The sequence below is a fragment of the Homo sapiens genome (genome assembly GCF_000001405.40).
Source record: "Homo sapiens chromosome 14 unlocalized genomic scaffold, GRCh38.p14 Primary Assembly HSCHR14_CTG7_UNLOCALIZED".
Taxonomy (NCBI): Eukaryota; Metazoa; Chordata; class Mammalia; order Primates; family Hominidae; genus Homo; species Homo sapiens.
Genome location: NT_187380.1, coordinates 136,834 through 160,811, shown reverse-complemented (window position 1 = coordinate 160,811; position 23,978 = coordinate 136,834).

Here is a 23,978-nt window from a genome sequence, read left to right as displayed (position 1 = left end):
TTTAAAATCTTTAAGGGAGTTTAATTAACTAAGTTGTAAATGGACCAAACATTAATCAAAGTCCCCCTTAAAAATAATTTTTAATGTACTAGATTTATAAATAGAACAACAAGATTTCTAATTTAAACTCAAAAATTTTTTAAATTGGTTAACAATTTAACATAATATGCTGCACATTAATTCAGAATATGAAATCTTATATGTAGTCCTTTTTACATTCAAGAATCACATCGATAAACATCACAAAATGACTACTGGTAACCACTATGAAACTCTTTAAGCGGTAGGTCCTGTATGAATTTTACTCCTCATGATTTGAAGATTATGCATAAATTCCTTCTTCCTGTTATTTTGTTTCCAATTTAGTCTTTACATAGACAATTCAATTTAGTCTTTACATAGACAAAACTCCTATAACAAAAAAACTGAAAACAAAGAGGGTGCATTCCTTTGCTTGCTTTCTGAGGACACCCTACTCTAAAAGGCAGTAGCTTTCAATAAACTATGTCTTCTTCTCATTGTACTCTGTGACTCACCTTGAATTCTTTCCTGTGTGAGGCCCAAAAACCATCTCTTGAAGTGTGGATCGGGACCTCTTTTTCCAGTAACACTAGTACTGTTATAATTAGGTAAATGTTACTCACACCTGAAACATGGAGCATAAATGATTGAATTTCAAGTCTACACAACATTTTTTCCGTTAAACTGACAATTTTTTAAAATTTTTGTTTTTTTCATTTTTCTATGTATGTATCAAAGTACCAACTCCAAACTCTACTCCAGTTTTCTAATGAGTCTCATAATGCATTCAGAAGCATTAGACATTTTATCAGATTTATCTTTTTGAAAATTTTTTTCTAAATAACTCTAATTTACACAGGTTGCTGTGTACACATACTGTACATCTAATAATCAGGAGATTCCCTGTACTTTATACCCTACTCTTTCTTCATTTACTTCCTCATTTCAATGAAACTCTTCTCCAGAAATTCCTGAGATAGGATGTATTGGATGTAGAGTTTTAGAATCTTGCCATGCTGTAAATGCTTATTATTGTTTCCTCCTATCTGATTTAGTTTGGTTGGAGATACTATTCTGCATTAGAAATAATTTGTTTTGCAATTTATAAGGCTTTGCTTGTTTTCTAGTGACCATTTATATTTCTCTTCTCTGGAAATTTTAAGTCTCTTCTTTTTTTTTTTCCTGAGTGTGCTGGTGTGTGTGTGTGTGTGTGTGTGTGCGTTGGTCTAGGTCTATTTTCACCACTGGCTTGAATTCTCGTGGATACATTCAATCTGAAATTCATGCACTTTAACTCTTACCCATTTCAAAAAAGTATTTACATATATCATACTTCATTTTACTTTTTTCTTTTCCCAAATGCCTGTATTTTGTTGCTGGCCCTATAGGACCAATTATTTAATTCATTAAACTTTCCCTTTCTCATTCCCAACTCTGTTTACACTAACTTTTCTGCAGTTGCAGTCAGCTTTACCTTCCAAATCTCCCATTAAGTTATATATTTCTGCAATAAATTTCTTAATTTTTAAGAATTCTATTTTTTTGAATATCCATTTTATATCACACCTTGTTCTTGTTGTATTATCTTATCTTCCCTCTCTGAGGAAATTAATAATTACTTTTTTCCCACACTGCATAGACTCTGTTTACTTTCAGTTGTTTTGTTTATTTTTTGTTTCTGTGTTTGTTATTGGCTGTACCTAGAATCTCATGATTGTTTGTTATCTGTTTGCGTTCAAGAGCAATACAATAAATGTTTACGGTAAGCTTCAGGTTCTTAGGTAATAATTGTCAACTGTGGCTTCCAGACAGGGCAATCAGGTCGAGAAGTTTTCCCAGAAAAGCTCCTCATGACATATCCACTGGTCTATTCCTTTGGGCTGATCATGATCTTCCAACTAGAGTCTTCCAGTCTTCTCTGAGGATATAAGACTAATAGACTGTTATGTTTTGAATCTAGATAGAGGTGAAAATTGGGGAGATCTAGCTTTCAGTAGTTACTGTTCGTTTTGCACCCCTAATTTATGTATGACCATTGAAGATGATATTGCCAGTACTAAGATTCCTTGTTACCTCTCTAGACAGCAAATGTCTACTTTTCCACCAGCAGAACCTAGAGGCATTCATGCGGCTTGATGGAGTGGACATTGGAAACAGTCTTTCAACCAATCTTCCTGGGTTTTAGCCCTACCTTTACTTCTACTTTCAGAGGTATCCCGTGCAACCAATTTATGAACATTTTGTAGAATCAGATTTCCCCGCTACTTACAATTTTACACTTTTTGGTAAGCTAAGTCAGTTACCAGCCATTTATGGACTTCCTGTTTTCAAAAATGTTGCTGTTTTCTTTTTATATCACTTGAATAAGCCATTTGTCATCATGTTATAGTTTCAGGTGGGAAAATAAGTCTCTCTATGTGTTTAATATGCCATATTTGCTCAGGTGCCTGCAACTACTCTCATCATTTTTTGAAGAAAGGCTAAATTGTAATGACACTAACAACTAGTCTTCAAAGTTTGGTTTATAATTTTTAATGGTGTTTATTTTTAACAAAATTGGTGGAGTTTTTTTTTCTTTGTATATTGATTTTTCTTTTGGTTTTCAGTTGTTTTAAGAAATAAATGGAGGGAGAGATATGCTTCCTTTGCTCCCATTAACCAAAAGAATAGTTTGAAGAATGCAGGAATTAACTTTTCCATTAAGTTTAAGAGGGCCTGCTTGAGACACAGCTGGGCCTTGAGCTTTTAAAGGTGCTATAACTTTACACCGGTTTCATTTTTTTCTATTGTTGGTATCTTCAAATGATCTCATTTCTCTAGATTTATTTTTATAGTTAAATTTTCCCTAAAAAATTAACCTCTTCATATATATTTCCAAATATAATGACCAAAAGGTACATATTACATTCTTTTGAAATTTTCAGTTATCCAGTTTTCCATTTTTCTTGTTATATTTTAATAGGCTCTCTCTTTTTTGTCATCTAATTTGTTTGTCCTTTCAAAGAAATAATTTTTTGGATTTATTGAAAAATTCCATTGCTGTTGGGATGGGAGAAGATTAAATCCTTAGAATAATAGGCCAGGCATGGTGGCTCACACCTGTAATCCCAGCACTTTGGGAGGCCGAGGTGGGTGGATCACTTGAGGACAGGGGTTCAAGGCCAGCCTGGCCGATATGGTGAAACCCCTTCTCTACTAAAAACACAAAAATACAAAAATTAGCAGGGCATGGTGGCATGTGCCTGTAGTCTCAGCTACTTGTGAAACTGAGGCACAAGAAATCACTCAAACCCGGGAGATGGAGGTTGTATTGAGCCAAGATTGTGTCACTGCACTCCAGCCTGGGTGACAGAGCAACACTCTGTCTCAAAAAAAACAAACAAAGAAACAAAAACAAAACAAAACAAAAAAGAACTTTAAATAATAGTATATTATAATTTTGCAGATTATAAGATCAATAGATATTTATTGTAAAATGCACAAATAGTGCAACATTTCTTAAAGTAGACCGTGAAATACTTCATGTTGCCATGTTTCTCCAAGAGGTACTATTGGGCCTTCATAAGAAGCAATTCTTCCTTATATAGGACTGTTTGTCTCAATGCACTGTTTGGCCCAATGCATGCTGCATGTGATCTCTACCCTTTACTTGTAAGTGCTTGCCATGTCTCCATCATTGATACAACCAAAAATAACCTACATTTCCAGAATCACTCCAAAGGAATGGTCCTGAGAAAGAGTTGAAAATTCTGAACTCCTCAGATTAGATCTCTATTAAATAATTGAAGCAGTGTGCTAACTAATATTTGCAAAGCTGTTCATTATACAAGTTTAAAAAAATGCAAAGATGGTAATGACTTGAATTTTCAATAGATATGTTTTATAAAAATACTGGTAAAAATTAACATTTTACAGTCATTTTAAATGACGGCAAGATATCCAATGTATTTTCAAATGAAATATCAGTTCACTACAAATCATAATTAGCATAATCTCATTTTTAAAAAAGTACACATATGTGTTTTATGAGTGAGAGTATTTGAGTTCTAATTAAATTGTCGGTGGATTTCTAAGGAATAGAGGAAATGATGAGGCAAGTGGAATTGTAGAGAGAGGAAGATTTCAATTTACATTTAATTCACTCCTGGAGTGTTTGAGTTTTTGTAATAAAACATTATAAAATGTCATATCATTTACAGTATGATCACTTATAAACTTTCATTTCAATTAAAAGGAAATTTTTAAAAGAGGACTACCAAATAACTACTGCAGCCATTGTAGTTTCATAAATGACTTTTTACTTCCTTCATGTTGTGTTAATGTGTGCCTGCTAGGTCAAGACCCAGATTTGACACCGTGTACAGTCAGCATATAAGTATCATAACAGAAGATTACCTATCTGGATACCCTAGCTTCTCCATTCCTGAGCAAGTTGGGAGGCCATGGGGTCCAACTCTCTCAATATGTACTAAGCAAACAGAGATACTTTTGCCAAAGGATATTCTTCTTGATGGTAAAAATATTAGCTAACATTTGTTAGCTGACAAAAATGAAGTATATTAAATATGCTAAGGGAAACTGTGGTTCAAGTGATAGAGATTTTTAATTCTTTTTGAGATCATGTAATTATACCCATGACAAGGTAAGTTTGATTCAGAATAATTTCTGCCAAAATAAAGGATGCTGTTGATGGCCTGCTTGTCCCCTGCCTATTGACTATTATTCTCAAACTCAAGCAAAATTAATTTTTAAATAACAGGATAAGAAATATTAGTAAGCTCTGCCTTTTGTGGGTCAGGTTGAAAGTATGGAAGAAATTCAGAAAGGACATAGTCAGGAATAGATGAGAAAAGAAAAATATATATTATTTTGGCCATTGATATGGTTTGGCTCTGTGTCCCCACCCAAATCTCGTCTTGAATTGTAATCCCCACATATAAAGGAAGGAACCTGGTGGGAGGTGATTGGATCATGACAGCAGCTTCCCCCATGCTGTTCTCATGATAATGAGTTAAGTTCTCAAGAGATCTGATGGGTTTATAAGTGTTTGACAGTTCCTCCTTCACATGCTTACTTTCTCCCTTGCCTGCCACCATAGAAGATGTGTCTGCTTCTCCTCCCACTATCATGGTAAGTTTCCTGAGGCCTCTCCAGCATGCAGAACTGTGAGTCAATTAAACCTTTTTTCCTTTATAAATTACCCAGTCTCAGGAAAGTCTTTTATGACAGTGTGAAAGCGGACTAATACAGCCATGAGAAATGAATAACGGTTAAATGGTAGGAAGAAGAAAGAACATTCTTGGCCTAGAGAGTACAAAAGGAAAGCCATGGGGTTGGACCTAAAAAGAATACAAAGGAAGAGGAGAGAAGAGTACTAATTGTGCTCAGGAGCTGAATTGGGAAATTTTTTACAAAACCAAGAAATACCAAACTTAGTGAACTATTGTGGGACCAGTGAATAAAGAAATATTAAAGCGATGAAAAATAATTTAAGTAAATATGAGAAGAAAAATTAAGAATATCTGTATATTTTTGATCAAAGGTTGTAATGATTAAAGTTACATTATAAATTATTCTATCTATGGAATTAATTATGGGTCAAAAAGAATACAAGTCAGACAAACTATAAACTTCTCTAATTCTTTATTTTGGAACTTAAATAACTTATGTATCTAAGTTAATCAGACATTTTTACGTTATTTTTACAAAAGTACCTATGCATTAATTTAGAAAGATTTTTATTGTCTGTTTTCTATAAAAATAAAGTGTAAGATTTTATTACTTCAGATAACATTTGCTACAAGTCAATCTATGTCTTCCAAGAAAATCTCTTGGTCAGGACTCATACTTCTCCACCATGTTTCAGATTTGATTTCTTTTCAGAGAGGTAAGATTTGTTGCTGTGTCTCCTTAAATTGAAATAGATGTAATTATTGTGGCTATAGTGAGAGTCGTCTTCAATATAGTAATTGTGTTCTGAAACAGTCATCTGAAAATGAAATATTTTCTCCTCTAACTGGAGTCTTTCATTTACAATTAACTTAAACTTTTAGTCTTTACACTGGAAACTCTTCTCTAAAGAAGATATGACTATTTTGTTCTCATAAAAGCTAGACTCTTGGAGAAGACAGAAAGTGCAATGGCAGGAAGATTAATGTGGATCCTAGAATCCAGAAAGTTGTCTAGAGACTATTTAAAACGGTTACTGCAAGAAAGCTCAAAAAGAGAGTAATCATTCAGAATAGGAAGAGATAGAAATCCTTAAACAATTAAAGTAACAATACCAGGTGTGTATAGTCAGAGGGAGAGATTTTGCCTATATTATTCTGGGGAGAGAAATAAAATATTTCTGTATAACATCATAGAAATGTAAATGGAGATGTTAAACTTCTCTGATGGGTAGTTTGAGAAAAATTTTAAAAATTGAAAAGTTTTTTTTTTTTTTTTTTGAGACGGAGTCTCGCTGTGTCATCCAGGCTGGAGTGCAGTGGCGCCATCTCGGCTCACTGCGAGCTCAGCCTCCTGGCTTCGTGCCATTCTCCTGCCTCAGCCTCTCTAGTAGCGGGACTACAGGCACCCGCCACCACGCCAGGCTATTTTTTTTTTATTTTTATTAGAGACGGGGTTTCACCTTGTTAGTCAGGATGGTCTCAATCTTCTGACCTCGTGATCCGCCTGCCTCCACCTTCCAAAGTGCTGGGAATACAGGCGCAAGCCACCGCGCAGGGCCAAGACTATTGTTTTAAAGTGTGAAAATTGATATTGAATTCTTGTGTTTATATAATAAGATGTCCTATAATTTCTGTTTGGAATATAAAATCAGCAACTAATATGTATTTTCAAAGCATTATAAATACAGAGTGCTAAGTTACTTCACTGTGAAATGTAGTCATATAAAGAACATAATAATTATACTGGATTATTTTTAAATGGGCTGTCTAACATTATATTAAAAGGTTTCATCAGTAATTCATTATATCAAAATGCTCCAGGCCAGGCGTGGTGGCTTATGCCTGTAATCCCAGCACTTTGGGAGGTCGAAGTGGGCGGATCACTTGAGGTCAGGAGATGGAGACTAGCCTGGCCAACATGATGAAACCCCGTGTCTAATAATAAAAAAAAAAAAATTAGCTGGGTGTGGTGGTGGGCAACTGTAATCTCAGCTAATCAGGAGGCTGAGGCAGAAGAATTGCTTGAACGTGGAAGGCAGAGTTTACAGTGTGCCAAGATCACACCACCCTACTCCAACTTGGGTGACAGAGCAAGACGCAGTCTCAAGGAAAAAAAAAAAGCTCGAAAAATGTTTGCTTATTTTGGTAAAATTATTCATTGACTATGCTCAGAAATCAAGCAAACTGTCCATATTTCATTTTTTGAAATTACATATTAAGGATCTAAAACAAAGGATAAAATATCTGCAAAAATATTTGCATTTCTGGATAAATTAGTTTCCTGATTTAACTCCTTGTTGACACTGAATCTATTTTAAATTAAACAAGGTGCTGATAAGACAAAAGACAAAGAAAGAAATTCAAAATAAAATTGAAAGATGAAATCAGAGCTTACCAGAGATAAAATTTCCTCTGACAGTGTAAAAGAGATCTTCATACAAAAATCAGAATTTATATAGTCTCTTTCCAAAAGACCATAAAACCAATCAGTTAATAGTTGATTTTTATGTGAAAAAAGAGACTGTAAAAGAAAAAATAATGACACCAAAATCCCTTTTAAATTCAAAGAGTCATAAAGTTTCAAAAAATGTAATTCAGATAAGAAATTAATGTCAGCTACATTCTTCCACAGTAAAGGTTTGCATCAACTTTTCAACTAATAGCTTTAGCATTCATTAGAAAACTTGTTTCAACCATTATTTTACTAGGTGTTATAACAGGGTACTACATTCTTTCATTTTTTTCTTCATTTATTAGCTGGAATAATTTCTAAAAGAACATTTCCTCCCAAATGTGTATTGATTACACCAAAACACAGTTTGGACAGGAAAAACAAGATAAGTAGACAAATGCTTGATTTTTATACCCCTCCCCACTTTTCACAGTAATGAATTAGTGCTTCAGCAAACTTTAATAGTGATTAAAAACTTATTTCCCATAATAAAAATTTTAAGTTTTTGTAAGTAAATGATAAATAATAATTTATCCAGTATTTCATGAGTACCTATAACCAGCCAGGATCCATTCTCCAACAATGTGGGGAAAGGAGCCCAGTTTAAAATTCCTGTCAGGATACCAGCAAGATGATGAAATAGAAAGCCTCAAAGCCCCTCCACCCTCCTCTCCAAGGAGACACCAGCTCGATAATAATACACAGATAAATCCCCTTCGTGAAAAGTTCAGAGGAGAATTTAAAGACTCTGGATTCCCTGGTAGGCTTCAAGCCAGGCACATCAAAACCAGCAGGTAAATTTGTTGCACTCACTCATCCTCCCTCAGCAGTACAACGCAATGGAGAGAAAGCTCCAAACTCCCAGCTCATCTCTAGGGAGAGAAAGAAAAGTCTAGACCATACGTCCAACATTTTGACTTTTTGGGAGGGCACTAGCACCTATCTACCCTGAATCTAAGTGCTAACAGGAAAGGATGCCAGATTGCATGCCTGCTGATAAAGCCACAGTTTGGACTGTCACTCAATCACCATCGTTCCTCCGGTGACTCAGTATAACAAGTTTGGGAGAATACTCTACAGTTCCTGATTCCCCCACAGAAGTGAAAGAGAATACTGCAACACACATTCAGTGTTCAGACTTCAGGGGAGTTGCCAAGTGATTGTTTTCTGTCTTGCCTGAATTTAAGCATTAACAGGAAAGCTTTCCAGGTTGGGGATATTAAGAATAAATGAGTTGAGGAAGTTTGGGTTAGCATACATTCACTTATCATATCATCCTTCCCTGGATCAATATGCAATGAGTGGGACAAAACCCTCAACTCCTGGCTTCCCCTTGGAGAAGGAAAAAGCTGGAGTGTGCATCCAGAATTTCAACTTTTCCCAGTCAGCCTGATGGACTGTTTTCTGTCTGACCGGATACTCTTCATGTCTGAGGACTGCTGAGAACAAAAGAGAGCTAGGGGGTTATAGCAACTCCAGATAACCTACAGTACTACAGATAGATAACAAAGAGAGCAAGAGATTACATGCTCCTGAAGAAAGACCTGCAAATTTTTCTCAGAATTTACACACAATTTCAGAGACAATACATTCACAGAAAGATTTGACACACTTCAGAATCTCTAACTGGGCTGACTGGTGAAAGGATTTCCCAGTGCAAAACCAGTCTGTAAAGACAAGGAGAAGTGGTTATTTTTTTCAAATCCTAGAATAACAACACAAAATTAAAAGGCACACAAGGAAACAGGGAAACATGGCCTAATAAAAAGAAGAAAATAAGTTTCCAAATATCAACCCTTCAAAAATGGAGGTATATAAATTATCTGGCAAAGTGACATATCCTGACACATTCTCCAGGATAGATCAAATGTTAGGTCACAAAGCGAGTCTTAACAAAATTAAGACAAAGGAAATCAAGAACCTGTTTTGACCAAAAGTAGGATGAAGCAAAAATTCAATAGTAGAAGGAAAACAGAAACATTTACAAATATATGGAAATTAAACAACATACTATTGAACAACCAATGAGTCAAAGAAGAAATCAAAAAGAATATTAGAAAAGAAGCTGACAAAAAAATAAAAAAACACAACATAGCAAAACTTAGAAATGCAGCAAAGGCAGTACTAAAGAGGGAAATTTATAGCAATAAATGCCTACCTTAAAAAAGAAGAAAGATCTCAAATAAACAACCTAACTTTACAACTCAAGGAACTAAAAAAAAGAACCAAGCCCAAACCCAGCAAAAGGAAGGAAATAATAAAAATTAAGCAAATAAAGGATATTTTCACACACATATTTTCATTATAACCAGAAAGTAGAACCAATGCAAGTGAATAGATTAAAAAAAAACTGTGGTATTACTATACAATGGAATATGGCAATTAAAAAGAGAAAAGACTCAACCAAATAAAATTAAAAATGAAAAAGTAGACATTGCAATTGATGCCACAGAAATAAAAAAGATTATTAGAGACTGCTGTGAATTATTATGGTAATAATTGGATAACCTAGAAAAAAACAAATTACTGGAAATATACAACAAACAACACTGAATCAAAAAGAAATACAAAATATGAACAAATCTATAGCTAGTAAGGTGTTTAAATTAGTAATCAAAAATCTTCCAACAAAGAAAATCTCAGGTGCAGATGACTTTACTAGAGAATTCTGCCAACATTTAAGGAAGAATTAATGCCAATATTTCTCAAACATTCCTAAAAAGTTAAAGAAGAAAGAACTATTCTAAACTCTTTTTGTGAAGCTAGTATAACCCTAATATCAAAGCCAGACAATGGTGCTACAAGAAAAAAAATTAAATATTCCTAATGAATGTAGATGCAAAATCCTCAACAAATACCAGTAAATTGAATTCAACAGCACTATAAAGTATCATCCACCATAATTATGATGGATTTGTTCCTGGAATGCAAGAAGGGTTCAACATGTGCAAATCAATATAATATGCCACATTAACAAAATAACTCAAATAACGTGTTCATCTCCGTAGATGGAGAAAGATCATTTGATGAAATTCAACATTCTCTCGTTAGAAAAACACTTGAAAAAATAGGAATAGAAAGAAATTATTCCAACAGAATAAAGGCCATATGTAAAAACCCACATTTCACACCATATTAATGAAGAAAAACTGAAATCTCTTCTTCTAAGATCAGGATCAGGAACAAGGCAAGGACGCCTTTATGAAGTACATAAAGTCCTAGCTAAAATAATTCAGCAAGAAAAAGATATAAAGGCATCCAAATTGGAAAGGAAGAAGTAAGTAAAATTTTTTCTATTCCCAGAAAACATCATCTTATATATTAAAAAAACCCTAAAGATTCAACAAAAAGCTCTTGGAACTAATAAAATTAATTCAGCAAAGTTGCAGGATTCAAAGTAAAGATTCAAAAAAACACAAACAGCAAACATTCTGAAAAGGAAATTAAGAAAACAATCCATTTGCAATGGCATCAAACTGAATAAAATACTTTGGAATAAACTTAGCCGGTGGGGGAAAGACTTGTACACTGAATACTGCAAAATATTGCTGAAAGAAATTAAGGAAGACACAAATAAATGGAAAGCCATCTCATTTTTGTGAATTCAAAGAATATTTTTAAATTCTAATACTAGCCAAAGAAATTTACAGATTTGATGTAATCCCTTGGAATTGTATAAATTCCAATGATAATTTTAGAGAAATAGAAAGGACAATTCTAAAATCCATATGGAACCACAACGGACCCTGAATATCCAAAACAATCCTAAGAAAGAGAAACAGTTAGAGGCCTCACATTTTCTGACTTTGAAATATACTACAAAGCTACAGCAATCGCAATAGTGTGATATTAATGTAAAACTAATCATATAGATGAATGGAACAGAATGGATTATTGGAACAGAATAGAAAGCCCACTGGGAGGCCAAGGCGGGCAGATCACCTAAGGTCGGGAGTTCAAGACCAGCCTGGCTAACATGGTGAAACCCCGTCTCTATGAAAAAATACAAAAATTAGCTGGGCATGGTTATGGGCACCTGTAATTCCAGCTACTTGGGAGGCTGAGGTAGGAGAATCGCTTGAACCCAGGAGGAAGAGGTTGCAGTGAGCCAAGATCACACCACTGCACTCCCGCCTTGGTTACAGAGCAAGACTCCATCTCAAAAAGAAAGAAAGAAATAAGAAAGAAAGAAAGAAAGAAAGAAAGAAAGAAAGAAAGAAAGAAAGAAGGAAGGAAGGAAGGAAGGAAGGAAGGAAGGAAGGAAGGAAGGAAGGAAAGAAAGCAAGCCCAGAAATAAACCCACATGCATATAGTCAAATGATCTTTGACGAGGGTGCCAAAACTATACAATGGAGAAAGGATAATTTCTTCAACAAATATTGTTGGGAAAACTGGATATCCATATGCAAAAGAATGAAAGTGAACCGTTATCTTAAAACTGTTCACAAATGTTAACTCCAAATGGATTGAAGACTTAAATGTAAGAACTAAAGCTGTAAAACTACAAGAAAACATAAAGAAAGGCTTTATCACATTGGTCGTGGCAATAATTCCTTGGATTTGATACCAAAAGCACAGGCAACAAAAGCAAAAATAGGTTAGGGTGATTACATCAAGATAAAATGCTTCTGTGCAAAAAAGGAAACAACAGAGTGAACAGGCAGCCTATAGAATTGGAGAAAATATTTGAAAACCGTATATGTGCTAAGGGCTTAATATCCAAAATATATAAGAAACACCTAGAACTCAAAAGCAAATAAACACATAACCCAATTTTAAAATGGCCAAATTCTTAAATAGATATTTTTCAGGAAGACATGCAAATGACCAACAGGGATATAAAAAGATACTCAACATCATTAATCATCAGGGAAATGCTAATTAAAATCACAACGGGATTTATCACCTCATAACTGTATGACCATTTTAAAAAAAAGAAAATAGCAAGTGTTGATGAAGATGTGGAGAAATTGAATTAGAACCTTATGTACTGTCAGTAGGAATGTAAAATGGTAGAGCCACTATGGAAAACAGTATGGAGGGTCCTCAAAACATTAAAAAATAGACCTACCATATGATGCAGCAATCCCACTTGTGGGCATTTTTCCAAAATAATTGAATAATTCCAAAATAATTGAAAACAAGATCTTGAAGTGATATTTGCATTCCCATATTCATTACAGAATTATTCACAATAGCCAAAAAGTAGAAACAATCTAAAAGTCCATCATCAAATGAACAGATGAAGAAAATATGGTATATATGTGTGTGTGTGTATATATATATATATATATATATATGTATGGTATATATATGTATGGTATATATATGTATGGTGTATATATATATGTATGATAAATATAGTATGGCATATATATGTATGGTGTATATATATGGTATATTTATGTGTATATATACATACACACACAGAATGGAATATTAGTAAGCCTTCAAAAGGAAAATTCTGTCTTATTTCAACATGTATCAATCTTAAGGATATTGTGCTAAGTGAAATAAGCCAGACACAAACACAAATATATCGTGATTCCATTTATATGATGTATTGAAAGTAGCCAAACACATGGAAACACAAGATAAAATGGTAGTTGTCAGGGCCTGGAGGAAACAGGAAATCTGGAGTTGCTGTTCACCAGGTGTAGAGTTTCAGTCAAGCAAGATAAAAACATTCTAGATTTCTGCTGTACAACAATGTGTATATCATTAACAAAATGTTCTGCAAACTTAAAATTTTGTTAAGATGGTAGATTTTTTTGTTATGTGTTTTTTAATTACAAAAATTTCTGTCTGTATTTAGTTTACATTTTAGTAAGGAAAGACAAATAAGCTAATAAATGGTAATGATAAATGCTGTAAGGATATCTAGAGCAATAAAAGAAGTTATGGATATGGGAGTATAATTTTAGATAGTGAAGATTTCTGTATTCAAATGCCACATGGAAAAAGGACTAAGGGGAATGAGGAGATGAGTCATATGGAATGCCCAAGACACAGAAAAAGGCAGGCAGAGAAAATAACAAGGATAAAGACACTGAAGTAAAATCATGCTTTCTATATTTCAAAACAGCAGCAAGTACACTACTGTGATAGAGCAGGAGTGACCAATGGGAGGCTGGAGATTTTGTCAGAGATATTGTCAAGGCTCAGGATCGTACAGGGACTTGTAAGCCTGGAAAGCACTTTGAATTTTATTCAGAATGAGATGAGAAGCCATTGAAAAGTTTTTAAGCAGATGAGTAAAATAATCCACCTTGTATTTTAAGAGGAGCATTCTACCTTCTCTGTGGAATAGAGAGGTGGAAGGGAAAGCTTGAAGCAGAGAGAGCAGTGAAGAGTGTACTGTAATATTCTTATGTGAGAAATAGTGGAGGGAATGAGAGGTGGTCAGCCTTAAACTGCCATTTGCTCTCTGTATCAGGGCTCAGGGACTTTCAGACTCTCCAGGGATTCCTTACAGTTTTTACATTCGTTTCTCAGTTGCAAACATAATCTCTTCACTCTATGAGAACTCTAGATCTGAATCCTTGTTATGAGTCAGGAGTCCTCTCTAGTTTACTCTCTTGTCAGTAACTAGACTTGAAATGTTTTGATATTAATTGATATAGTAATAAGATTGGTTAGAGAAATAGCAAAGAGAGAGCATCCCCATCCTATGACCATATCAGCACCAGAAGAGAAAAACACATCTACACAGTTTTTCCCTTGGCATAGGTCCTGGTATTCTGTTAGGGAACAGGTTATGAAGGAAATACAAAGGGTCTTTGTACTTACTTTCAGAATGTATTTTCTTTAACATGAAAAGAATCCAAGGCCTTTTTGCTTCTAATTGCTTTTTGTGTATCTACTACCATCCCTTGCTAAATTATTGATAGGTTTCCTCAAATCTCGGCATGATGTCCTACATTCTAAATTTTCAATAGCTGAAAATTTCACCTTTTCAGTGCCTTCAAGTTTATCTCAGTAAAAAGTTGAGAAAGACTGTAATAGAGTTATTTAATCAGATTTTTTTCATCTACCATAATTTTTGAATAAGGAAAAACAGCAATACTTTTTCTCCTTACTTGGCAACTAATTTTCATAGAGAGGAAAAAAACAATCAAAACAGGTACAAAATGTAACAAAACCAAAGGACCATGTGAGGTGAAATTTAAAATGAGAAAAATGTCCACAGTACTTTGGGCAATGCAACTCCTGGGAAATAGTAACTCAGCACCTGAGAGCTAAATAATTCTACAGGACTAAATATATATTCTGGTACTCAAGGGGAAAATGACATCATATAGAGTTTAGGTCTATTAAAACATATTTGTAGATGTGTAGGTATCAAAAATGCTTTTAGAGATGGGAAGAGAAAAAAACTCATTTGTTTAACAAGTTCTGATGGGTGCTTTTCACTAAAAGAGAAACATCATATGTTTATAACACTCAGGATGTAAATTGCGGTACATTTCAAATTACATGAGAAACTAAAGAAAATATCTGTTTCGGGTCACTGAATAATTCATTCTTATTTAGTGTTTGTCCCTAATTTCTGTGATTTTATGAATAATTCAGAGCAATGATTTTACCTTTCTCTACAGCTGTATTTGGTAAATGTCCACATTATTTTTGTTGCAAAGATGCAGCCAAGTTTCTTAGAATAGGAACAATGTTTAGAATGTATTTTTTCCATAATGAAAAATATTATGAAAGGGGAAACTAAGATATAGCTTACAGGGTTCTCTATTGTGATAACTAAAACATACTTAGCCTCAAGTAAAACTGACATCTTGCTAACTGTTGGTGGTGAAGGAGAAAGAAGACAACACTGAACCAGACTGGGGAAAGATGAATTCAAATTAGTTAGAGATTTGTCACCCAAAGCAAAACAAATTCAAGCTTGAACTGAGTTGACATTGGTAGTTATTATGGACTGCAAATCCCTCAAATTCATATGATGAAATCCTAACTCTCAATGTATTGGTATTAGGAGGTAAACCTTTGGGAGGTAATTAGGTCATGAAGATGAAACCCTCACCAAAGGAAAGTAGTGCCCTTCTAGAAAGAGATACAAGAGAGATTTTTCTCTCCTCCATGTGAGGATAAAATAAGACAGCCATCTGTAAACCAGGAAGACAGCCTTCACCGAGAACCCAACCATGCTGACTCCCTGATTTCAGATTTACAGCCTACGGATCTGTGAAAAACAAATGTTTATTGTTTTACTCGCTCAATCTGTGTTTTCCGTTATAGCAGCCCACATTGACTAAGAAAATACTAAACCCTTTATTTGATAGATAAAGATAGTATCAGACAAGGTATCATATGAGTAAAAACCTAAGATTTATGTGTGATCATTTTACATTGGAGCAGCTACTGAAACTTGAGACCAAAACCACTAGCTAACATCAGTATGTCAACCCAAAACATTTGGGACAGTAATGAAGATACAGCAAATGAATTGTTTTAATATATAATCAAGGCAAAGTTATCCTCAGAATTATAGGAAAAAATCCACTAAATTTGGCTTATGAGAAATGCATGGTTCATTGTATACCTTGATACTGGGCTTAAAGCAGCAATCCTAATTCCAGATCTACCTTCAAGTCTGGGTCAGTGTTCTCAAATGCTGCCAGTTTCATGTCAGGACCAGCTTAATATTGAAGGTAACTGAGCATTGCTAATGTCTGACTGGAGCTGAAAGAGGCCAAAAGCAGGGTTATAACTTTGGGAAAACTGACCTGGTGTTAACTTCCATGCCTTCCATTTCAAACGGGAAGGTATCACAATTAGAAGCTATTAACAGTCTTATCTAATAAATTGTGGATAATTTCTTTTTTTTTTTTCTTTTTTTTTAAGAGTCAGGGTCTCACTCTGTCACCTAGGCTGGAGTGCAGTTGTGCAATTGTTACGGAATCTTTGGGGTGTCGATTTTCTGGTTTGGAAACTGTGGTTGGTGGCATCTTTGCCCGAGTTCTTGTCCTGCTTCCAGGAAAAATGGTGTAGGTAGACAAGTGAAGGGTTAAAGGAGAGGAGCTTTATTAAGTGTTAGAACAGCTCAGAGGAGACCCATAGTGGGTAGCTCCTCCCTAGGTTGTTCTGTCAAGTGTTCAGCTCTCAGGAGAAAGGGAAACCCTGGAGAGGGTTGCTCCTGTCTGCAGCTGGTAGTTCCCAGACATCTCTGCAGGTCTCTGAAGCATTCAGCAGAGAAAACAGCTGGCCCTCCCATTGTCTCCAGCTATCAGCAGAAAGGATAGCTCCTTCCTGCCTCTATTCTTCCCTCCTCTGCCCTCTGCCCTGTTCTGGCTGAGTCCTGGGCTTTTATGGATGTCAGAGGGGAGGAAATGTATGCCCATTGGTCCATGGGCAGCCATGGGCGGGCCCAGGAAAAACACCATGAGTTTTGCCTCCAGTCTGCAGGACTGGCAGCCTAGCCTGCAGGTGGGGCTTCACTGGGGACCCATCACCTTCCACCCAGGAGCCTGTCTGCCTCCCACAACCATCCATGGCACCCAGGCTGCTGGCATCAAGGGGCACTTGCAGGCCAGTGCCAAGCCACCCTCGGACCCCCTCATCTTCCCCTCCCATGCTCCTGCTTCTCAGTGTCCAAAGTCCAGAAGGGACTGAGGTGGCAGGGGACTGGCATGTCGGCACTGCTTCCAATTTGTGCACACCTGGCTGGGCAGTGACAGCACCCTGCTGGGTCCCAACCCCACTCTGAGATCAGAGCACAGAGCCAGGAGGTGGGAGAGACCAGGCAGCAGGAAGAGGTGCCTCCAAGCCTGCAAGGGGCAAGGGGGGCGTTCCCAGGCTCCCCAAGAGTGCAGGGATGCCTGAGTCTGCAGCATTGGTTTGGGTGGCTGGGTGGTGGGCTGGGGTGGGGACAGAGTAGGGGAGTTGGATAAACTCCCATCTGCTCCATGGAGTGGGAGGTCCAGGTCTACAGCTACAGCTGCAGTTTGGGCAGCTGCAGCAGCACCCAGGGAGCTCCCATTCCAACTCGGAAGGGCAGGGCTCCCACTTGTCCTCATCCTGCCAAATCCAGGGAGCATACAACCCCGGCCACACCTCTCCCCTGCATCTGGCATGATGGCAGCAGCCACTGCCATCACAATCACAACCTATTGTAGCCTCAAACTCCTGGGCCCAAGTGATCTTTTTACCTCAGTCTCCCCAATGGCTGGGGCCACAGGCATGTGCCATAATGCCCATCTAATTGTTTTTTTATTTTTGTAGAGAAGGTGGTCTGGCTATATTGCCCAGGTTAATCTCTAATTCCTGGATTTAAGCAGTCTTCCTGCCTCATCCTCCTACATGGCTGGGATTACAGGCATGAGCGACTGTGCCCAGCTCCTGATAAATCCTTTCTTAATCAAAGTCTTCATCAGCAGCCTTACTTACCACAATCTTCCCAGATGATCTCAAGTATCCAAGGAAACTAAAAGTAGCTACTGCTGACAAAACTGTTGGGTTCCCTGATATTGTGCAAGAATAAAATGATGCTAGGTCTTCTGTTAGCTAGCTCTTCTTCTGTAACAGTCTCTTCCTATGTATTAATCAAAACTGATGCAACTTTTTAAAGAACTATTCCTAGAAACTTTCTCCCTTCCCCGTCAGAATTAATGTATTATTTATCCATTTAAAGGACTATATAAGTAGGACATGCTTTGGGTATATAACAGCACTTACGGCCATTTACTTTGTGGTTCAGTGATTTCTGTGTGCTTCTGACTTGTATATACTTTCAGCCCTTGTAGATGTAGTGGTGGTAGTTTTCCCAACTTAAATTTATCTTTATCATCCACCTTTATCCACAGTCCTCCTCATGATTAGCACATTGTCAATAAATATTTACTAAGCTGAACTGAAAGTTTTTATTATGCATAAATACTAAGATGTCCATGTCCATGGTCATGCAGGACAGCAGAAGATAATTTTTTTTACCAGTGTATCTATTGCTAACAATTGCTTCAAGGTCAGGAGCCAACTCATGTATTAGACATGTAAATCTTGTGAAAATATTCGTATTGGAAACAGCATGTAGCAAGTGCAAACAGAACTAAATAAATCCTTTAATTTATCACAGCCCCTTCGAAGTATGAATTCTTCTTCTAGCATTACATCAAATTTGATAAAATCCAAAAATATTTTATCTCAATGTTTTAAAAGTGTTGATGCTGTGTACATTGAGTTATTGTACAATTGGATGGAACCCACATTCAAAGTTTTTCCTCAATGTTAAAATTAAATGGTTCTCTCTGTGATTCCTTCTGTTTGCAGTTCTTCTCATTTCATTGTTAGAATTTACCTCTACAAATGTAATTCATTTGGCATTGCAGACGTTCTGATCTTTTCAAATGTGTATTTTGACAGGTGCCTCATACATTCATCCTTGGTTTGTGCTGTGGGCCTAAAGTTTATATCTCTCCAAAACTCATATATTGAAATCTAATTCCCAATATGTTGGTGTTAAGATGTGAGGCCAGGCTGGACACAGTGGCTCACACCTGTAATCCCAGCACTTTGGGAGGCCGAAGTGGACAGATCATGAGGTCAGGAGTTCAAGACCAGCCTGGCCAACATGGTAAAACCCCATCTTTACTAAAAATACAAAAATTAGCCAGGTGTGGTGGCACACGCCTGTAATCCCAGCTACTCGGGAGGCTGAGGCAGAAGAATTGCTTGAACCTGGGAACCAGAGGTTGCAGTGAGCTGAGATTGTGCCACTGCACTCCAGCCTGGGCAACAGAGCAAGACTCCATCTCAAAAAATAAATAAATAAATAAATAAATAAATAAATAAATAAATAAGGGCGGTCTTTGGGATGTGAGTAGGTTAAGGGGGTTGGGGAGCCATCATGAATGGGTTAGTCCCCTTATAAAAGAACCCATAGGGAGCTACTTTGCCCCTTTTGTCCTTATGCCAAGTGAAGATGCAGCAGTAAGTTTGAGAAACAAACCTCACCAGGTAACAACTCTGCTGGCACCTAAATCTTGGACTTCCCAACCCCCAGAACTGAGAATAATAAATTTGGTTTATAAATTACCCAGTCTAAGGTAATTTGTTACAGCAGTCCAAATGGACTCAAACAGGTTGTAAACACTTGAAAAATGAGTATCTGTATTGAATCGCATATTTTAGCCGTAGTTTGCTTGTAGGAGTACAGCCTATGGCCAAAGAATTAATAGCTGACTCTCATTTGAATGGCCAAGATTTGCTCTCTATTTCCAGTATTTTATTTTTGTGCCTGTATGTTGGATACAGGCAAATTTTTACACAATAAACCAGAAAAGTTCAATAGTCTTTCATTCTCTGCTTTCACTAACTTCTTTTAAGTATATTTCAACAATTATCTTAATATTAGCACCAGTAGATTAAGCATACTGTTATAAACACTCTATTTATTCAAAGCTTGAATTGAGCTAGCTGCTAATAACATTTTTTTAATTAGCATTGCAACCATATTCACCTACCATATTTTTCCCTCTCCTTTGATTTCTGGGCCATTACTCACTTTCACAATTTGTATGTGACTCACCATTCTGTACCTACTTTTGCCTTACCTTAAAATATTTTTTGATTTAATACATTTACATTTTTTCTCCTTTTGCTTTTGGAATTGTATTACTATCACGGGGGGTTTTCTTTTCCTTTTTCAAGAGTTTCTCAAAATTTTTGACCAAAGCCCTATCCTCTGAAGTGAGTAATATTCTTCACTATATTACCGCATCACATGTTTACATCAGGCTAAAGTAAGAAACACTACTCGTGTTCTGTAGCTAATTGATAATTGTTAAAATAAACTTAACAATTGATAACAAATTATAGAAAATGATTATTTTAATGTTCTTTATACTTGTAATCTTTGTAAATAATATGAGTTATCACCTCTTTCTGTAGCTAATTGTATAGGGAGCACACCCAGTTAGTGGCATATTTCTTAACACATTTCTGATATCAAGAATAACAAATACAATGCAGTGGGGAGTGGAGAAAAGAAATTAAGTGTGGCTACATCTGCAAGTAACAATTGCAGCCACATTTTATCAAGGGTTAAACAATCGTCAATGAGCTATACACATTGTTTGTCACCAGAATAACTGAATCAAGAGGTTCCAACTCATTGTTTCATTCCCATATACCTGAACATCTGGGACATGAAGAAATAGTGTGTATGTGTTAATAGGCAAAGCTGTAGTAATGACTTCTACATATTGGAAGCAGTTATCTATTTTCCTGTTACTAATTTTTACACAAAAATACCTCAGATGAATATTGACAGAAACTCAGAAAGAAGTATGGCATAAACTAATACGAAGGTAACGTAGTAATGGCAGAAAGTTACAGCTTAAAAGTTTTTACAGTGGGAAGACTATTGTAATAGTGAGAGCCATGTATAAGTTTGTTTTGAAATGATAATGTACAGCTAAAGAGTATAATGCTCAAATTTTTGTATATGAAGTTTTCGTAATTCAACAAGTAGGGTTAAGAGACAATAAGAATTACACAGAATGTTGGATTTTATTTCACGTCTGTTCCTCTTGTCAGACATTGCCATCTTTCCCCTGTTTCGTCAGGTCTTCAGTAAGTTAACAACATTCACTCTGTGAAAAGTACCACATGATTTATTGTATAAATATAATTGGAAATACACTGTGGTTCCTCATATCCTCAAGCTTATAATTCAGTTTGGAGACTACACTATATAAATGTAGAAATGCCATAATTATGCTTATAAATTGATTTTTTAAAACATGAAAATTAATTTGGTAGAAACTGAATACATAAGTATGGGGGTGCCATATAAAATAATGATCAATGCCAGTGGGATTAATCAAAGAAAGTTTCTTGGGGAAGTGAATTCTAAACAGAATTTGGTATATTTGTTTATTTAGCACTCATTTTATGTTTTCTAATTATAAATATAACGTATTCTCAAATTCTGAAGGTAATAAATTTGCAAATTTTAAATTAGTAGGAAGAGTAAAAGGAACTAAGATCCCACTGTCCAAAGGTAATCATTATTCAGGTTCTGTTCTTTTCCTTCCATTTGGTTCTCTGATATTTTCTTCATGGTTGCCATTACATCACATATTCAATATTATGACCCACTTTGTGTTTCAGTCAGTGTCTATACATACAACTTTGAATGATACAAATGTCTCATAGAAACTAAGTTTAATCAAATCAAGAAACTAAGTTTAATGCCAGTCTATATCAATGTACCGTTTCCTTCTAGCTAAATATTTAGGCTTTTCCAAATTTTGTTAACATAAATAACTCCAAAGATATTTTTGTTAACATTTTCTCTTAGTGTTACTTTCCTAAGGTAGACTTTAACAATTTACTATAACAAATTATAGAAAATGATCATTTTAAGGTTCCTTATTCTTGTACTATTTGTAAATAATGTTATCACCTCTTTCGAATTATTTCTTCTTGATATTTTATTGCATTGATCAGAATTCTCAGAATTGTAATATAATGTTAATTATTAAATATTACATTCCTTCTCATGTTAATAGTTATTATTTTGTAAATATGATGCTATTAGCAAATTTTAGATTGGCATCCTTAATATATTATTCAGATGTTAGCAATTGCACTTTTCCCTAAAAAGGCTCTTTTTGTGGCTTTTTGTCCCCGCCATGGCTTTTTACCGCCGCAGTATTTTGCCCCCGCCGCCATGGGTTTCAGTCCCCGCCGCCGCGGCTTTTGGCCCCCGCCGCCACTCTTTTGACAACGCGGCTTTTTGCCCCCGCCGCCGAGGCTTTTTGCCGCCGTGGCTTTTTACCCCAGCCGCCGGTGTTTTTTGCGACTTTTTCCCCCCGCCGCCGCCCTCGCGGCTTTTTTTGCCCCCGCTCCAGATGGTTTTTGCCCCCACCACCGCGGCTTTTTGCCCGCGCCGCCGGGGCTTTTTGCCGCCCCGGTATTTTGCCCCCGCCGCCGCGGCTTTTGCGGCTTTTTGACCCCGCCGCCGCGGCTTTTGGTCCCCGCCGCCACGGCTTTTGCCGACACGGCTTTTTACCCCCCGCTGCCGCGGATTTTTGCGCCCCGCCGCGGCGACTTTTTGCGCCCCGCCGCCGCGGTTTTTGCCAACGCGGCTTTTTACCCCCATCACCGCGGCTTTTTACTCCCCGCCGCCGCGGCTTTTTGCCCCCGCCGCCACGGCTTTTGCCGACGTGGCTTTTTGCGCCCCGCCGCTGCGGCTTTTTGCTGCTGTGGCTTTTTGCTCCCGCCGCCGCCGGTTTTTGCCGCCGGGGCTGTTTGCCCCCGCCATCGCGGCTTTTTGCCCCCATCGCCGCGGCTTCTTGCAGCTTTTTCCCCCGCCGCCGCGGGTTTTGCCGACGCGGCTTTTTAACCCCACTGCCACGACTTTTTGCGCCCACCGCCACGCCTTTTTGCCCCGGCCGCCAAGGCTTTTGCCGACGTGATTTTTTACCCCCACCGCCGCGGCTTTTTGCTCCCGCCGCCGCGGCTTTTTGCCACCGCGGCTTTTTGCCCCCGCCGCCGCGGGTTTTTTCCCTCGCCGCCGCGGCTTTTTGTGTTTTTTTGCCCCCGATGCTTTCGGCCCGCGCCGCCGCGGCTTTTTGCCCCCGCCCCCAACGCCGCGGCTTTTTGTCCCCGACGCCGCGGCTTTTTGCCGCCGCCGCCACCGGCACGGCTTTTTGGCCGCGGCGACTTTTTGCGCCCACCGCGGCGGCTTTTTGCTCCCCGCCGCCGCGGTTTTTGCTAACGCGGCTTTTTACCCCCATCGCCGCGGCTTTTGCCGACGCGGCTTTTTACTCCCCGCTGCCGCGGCTTTTGCCGACGCGGCTTTTTACTCCCCGCTGCGCGGCTTTTGGCCGCTGCGTCTTTTTGCCCCCGCGGCTTATTGCTCCCGCCACCGCGGGTTTTTGCCGCCGAGGCTTTTTGACTCCGCCGCCGCGGCTTTTTGCCCTCGCCGCCGCGGATTTTTACCTCCGCAGCCGTGGCTTTTTGCACCTGTCGCCGCTGTTTTTGCAGCTTTTTCCCCCACCGCCGCGGGTTTTGCGGACGCGGCTTTTTGCTCCGTGCCGCTCGTTTTTGTCCCCGCCGCCGCGGCTTTTTCCCCCAGTCGTGGGTTTTCGCCCCCACCGCAGCGATTTTCTGCCCCCGCCGCCACTACTTTTTGCGGCTTTTTGCCCACGCCGCCGCGGCTTTTTCCCCCACCGCCCGAGCTTTTTGCCGCCGCGGCTTTTTGCCGCGGGAGCTATCAGCCCCCACCGCCGTGGCTTTTTCCCCCGATGCCGCGGCGTTTTGCCCCCGCCTCCGCGGTTTTTTGGTCCCCGCCGCTGAGACTTTTTGCCGCCATAGCT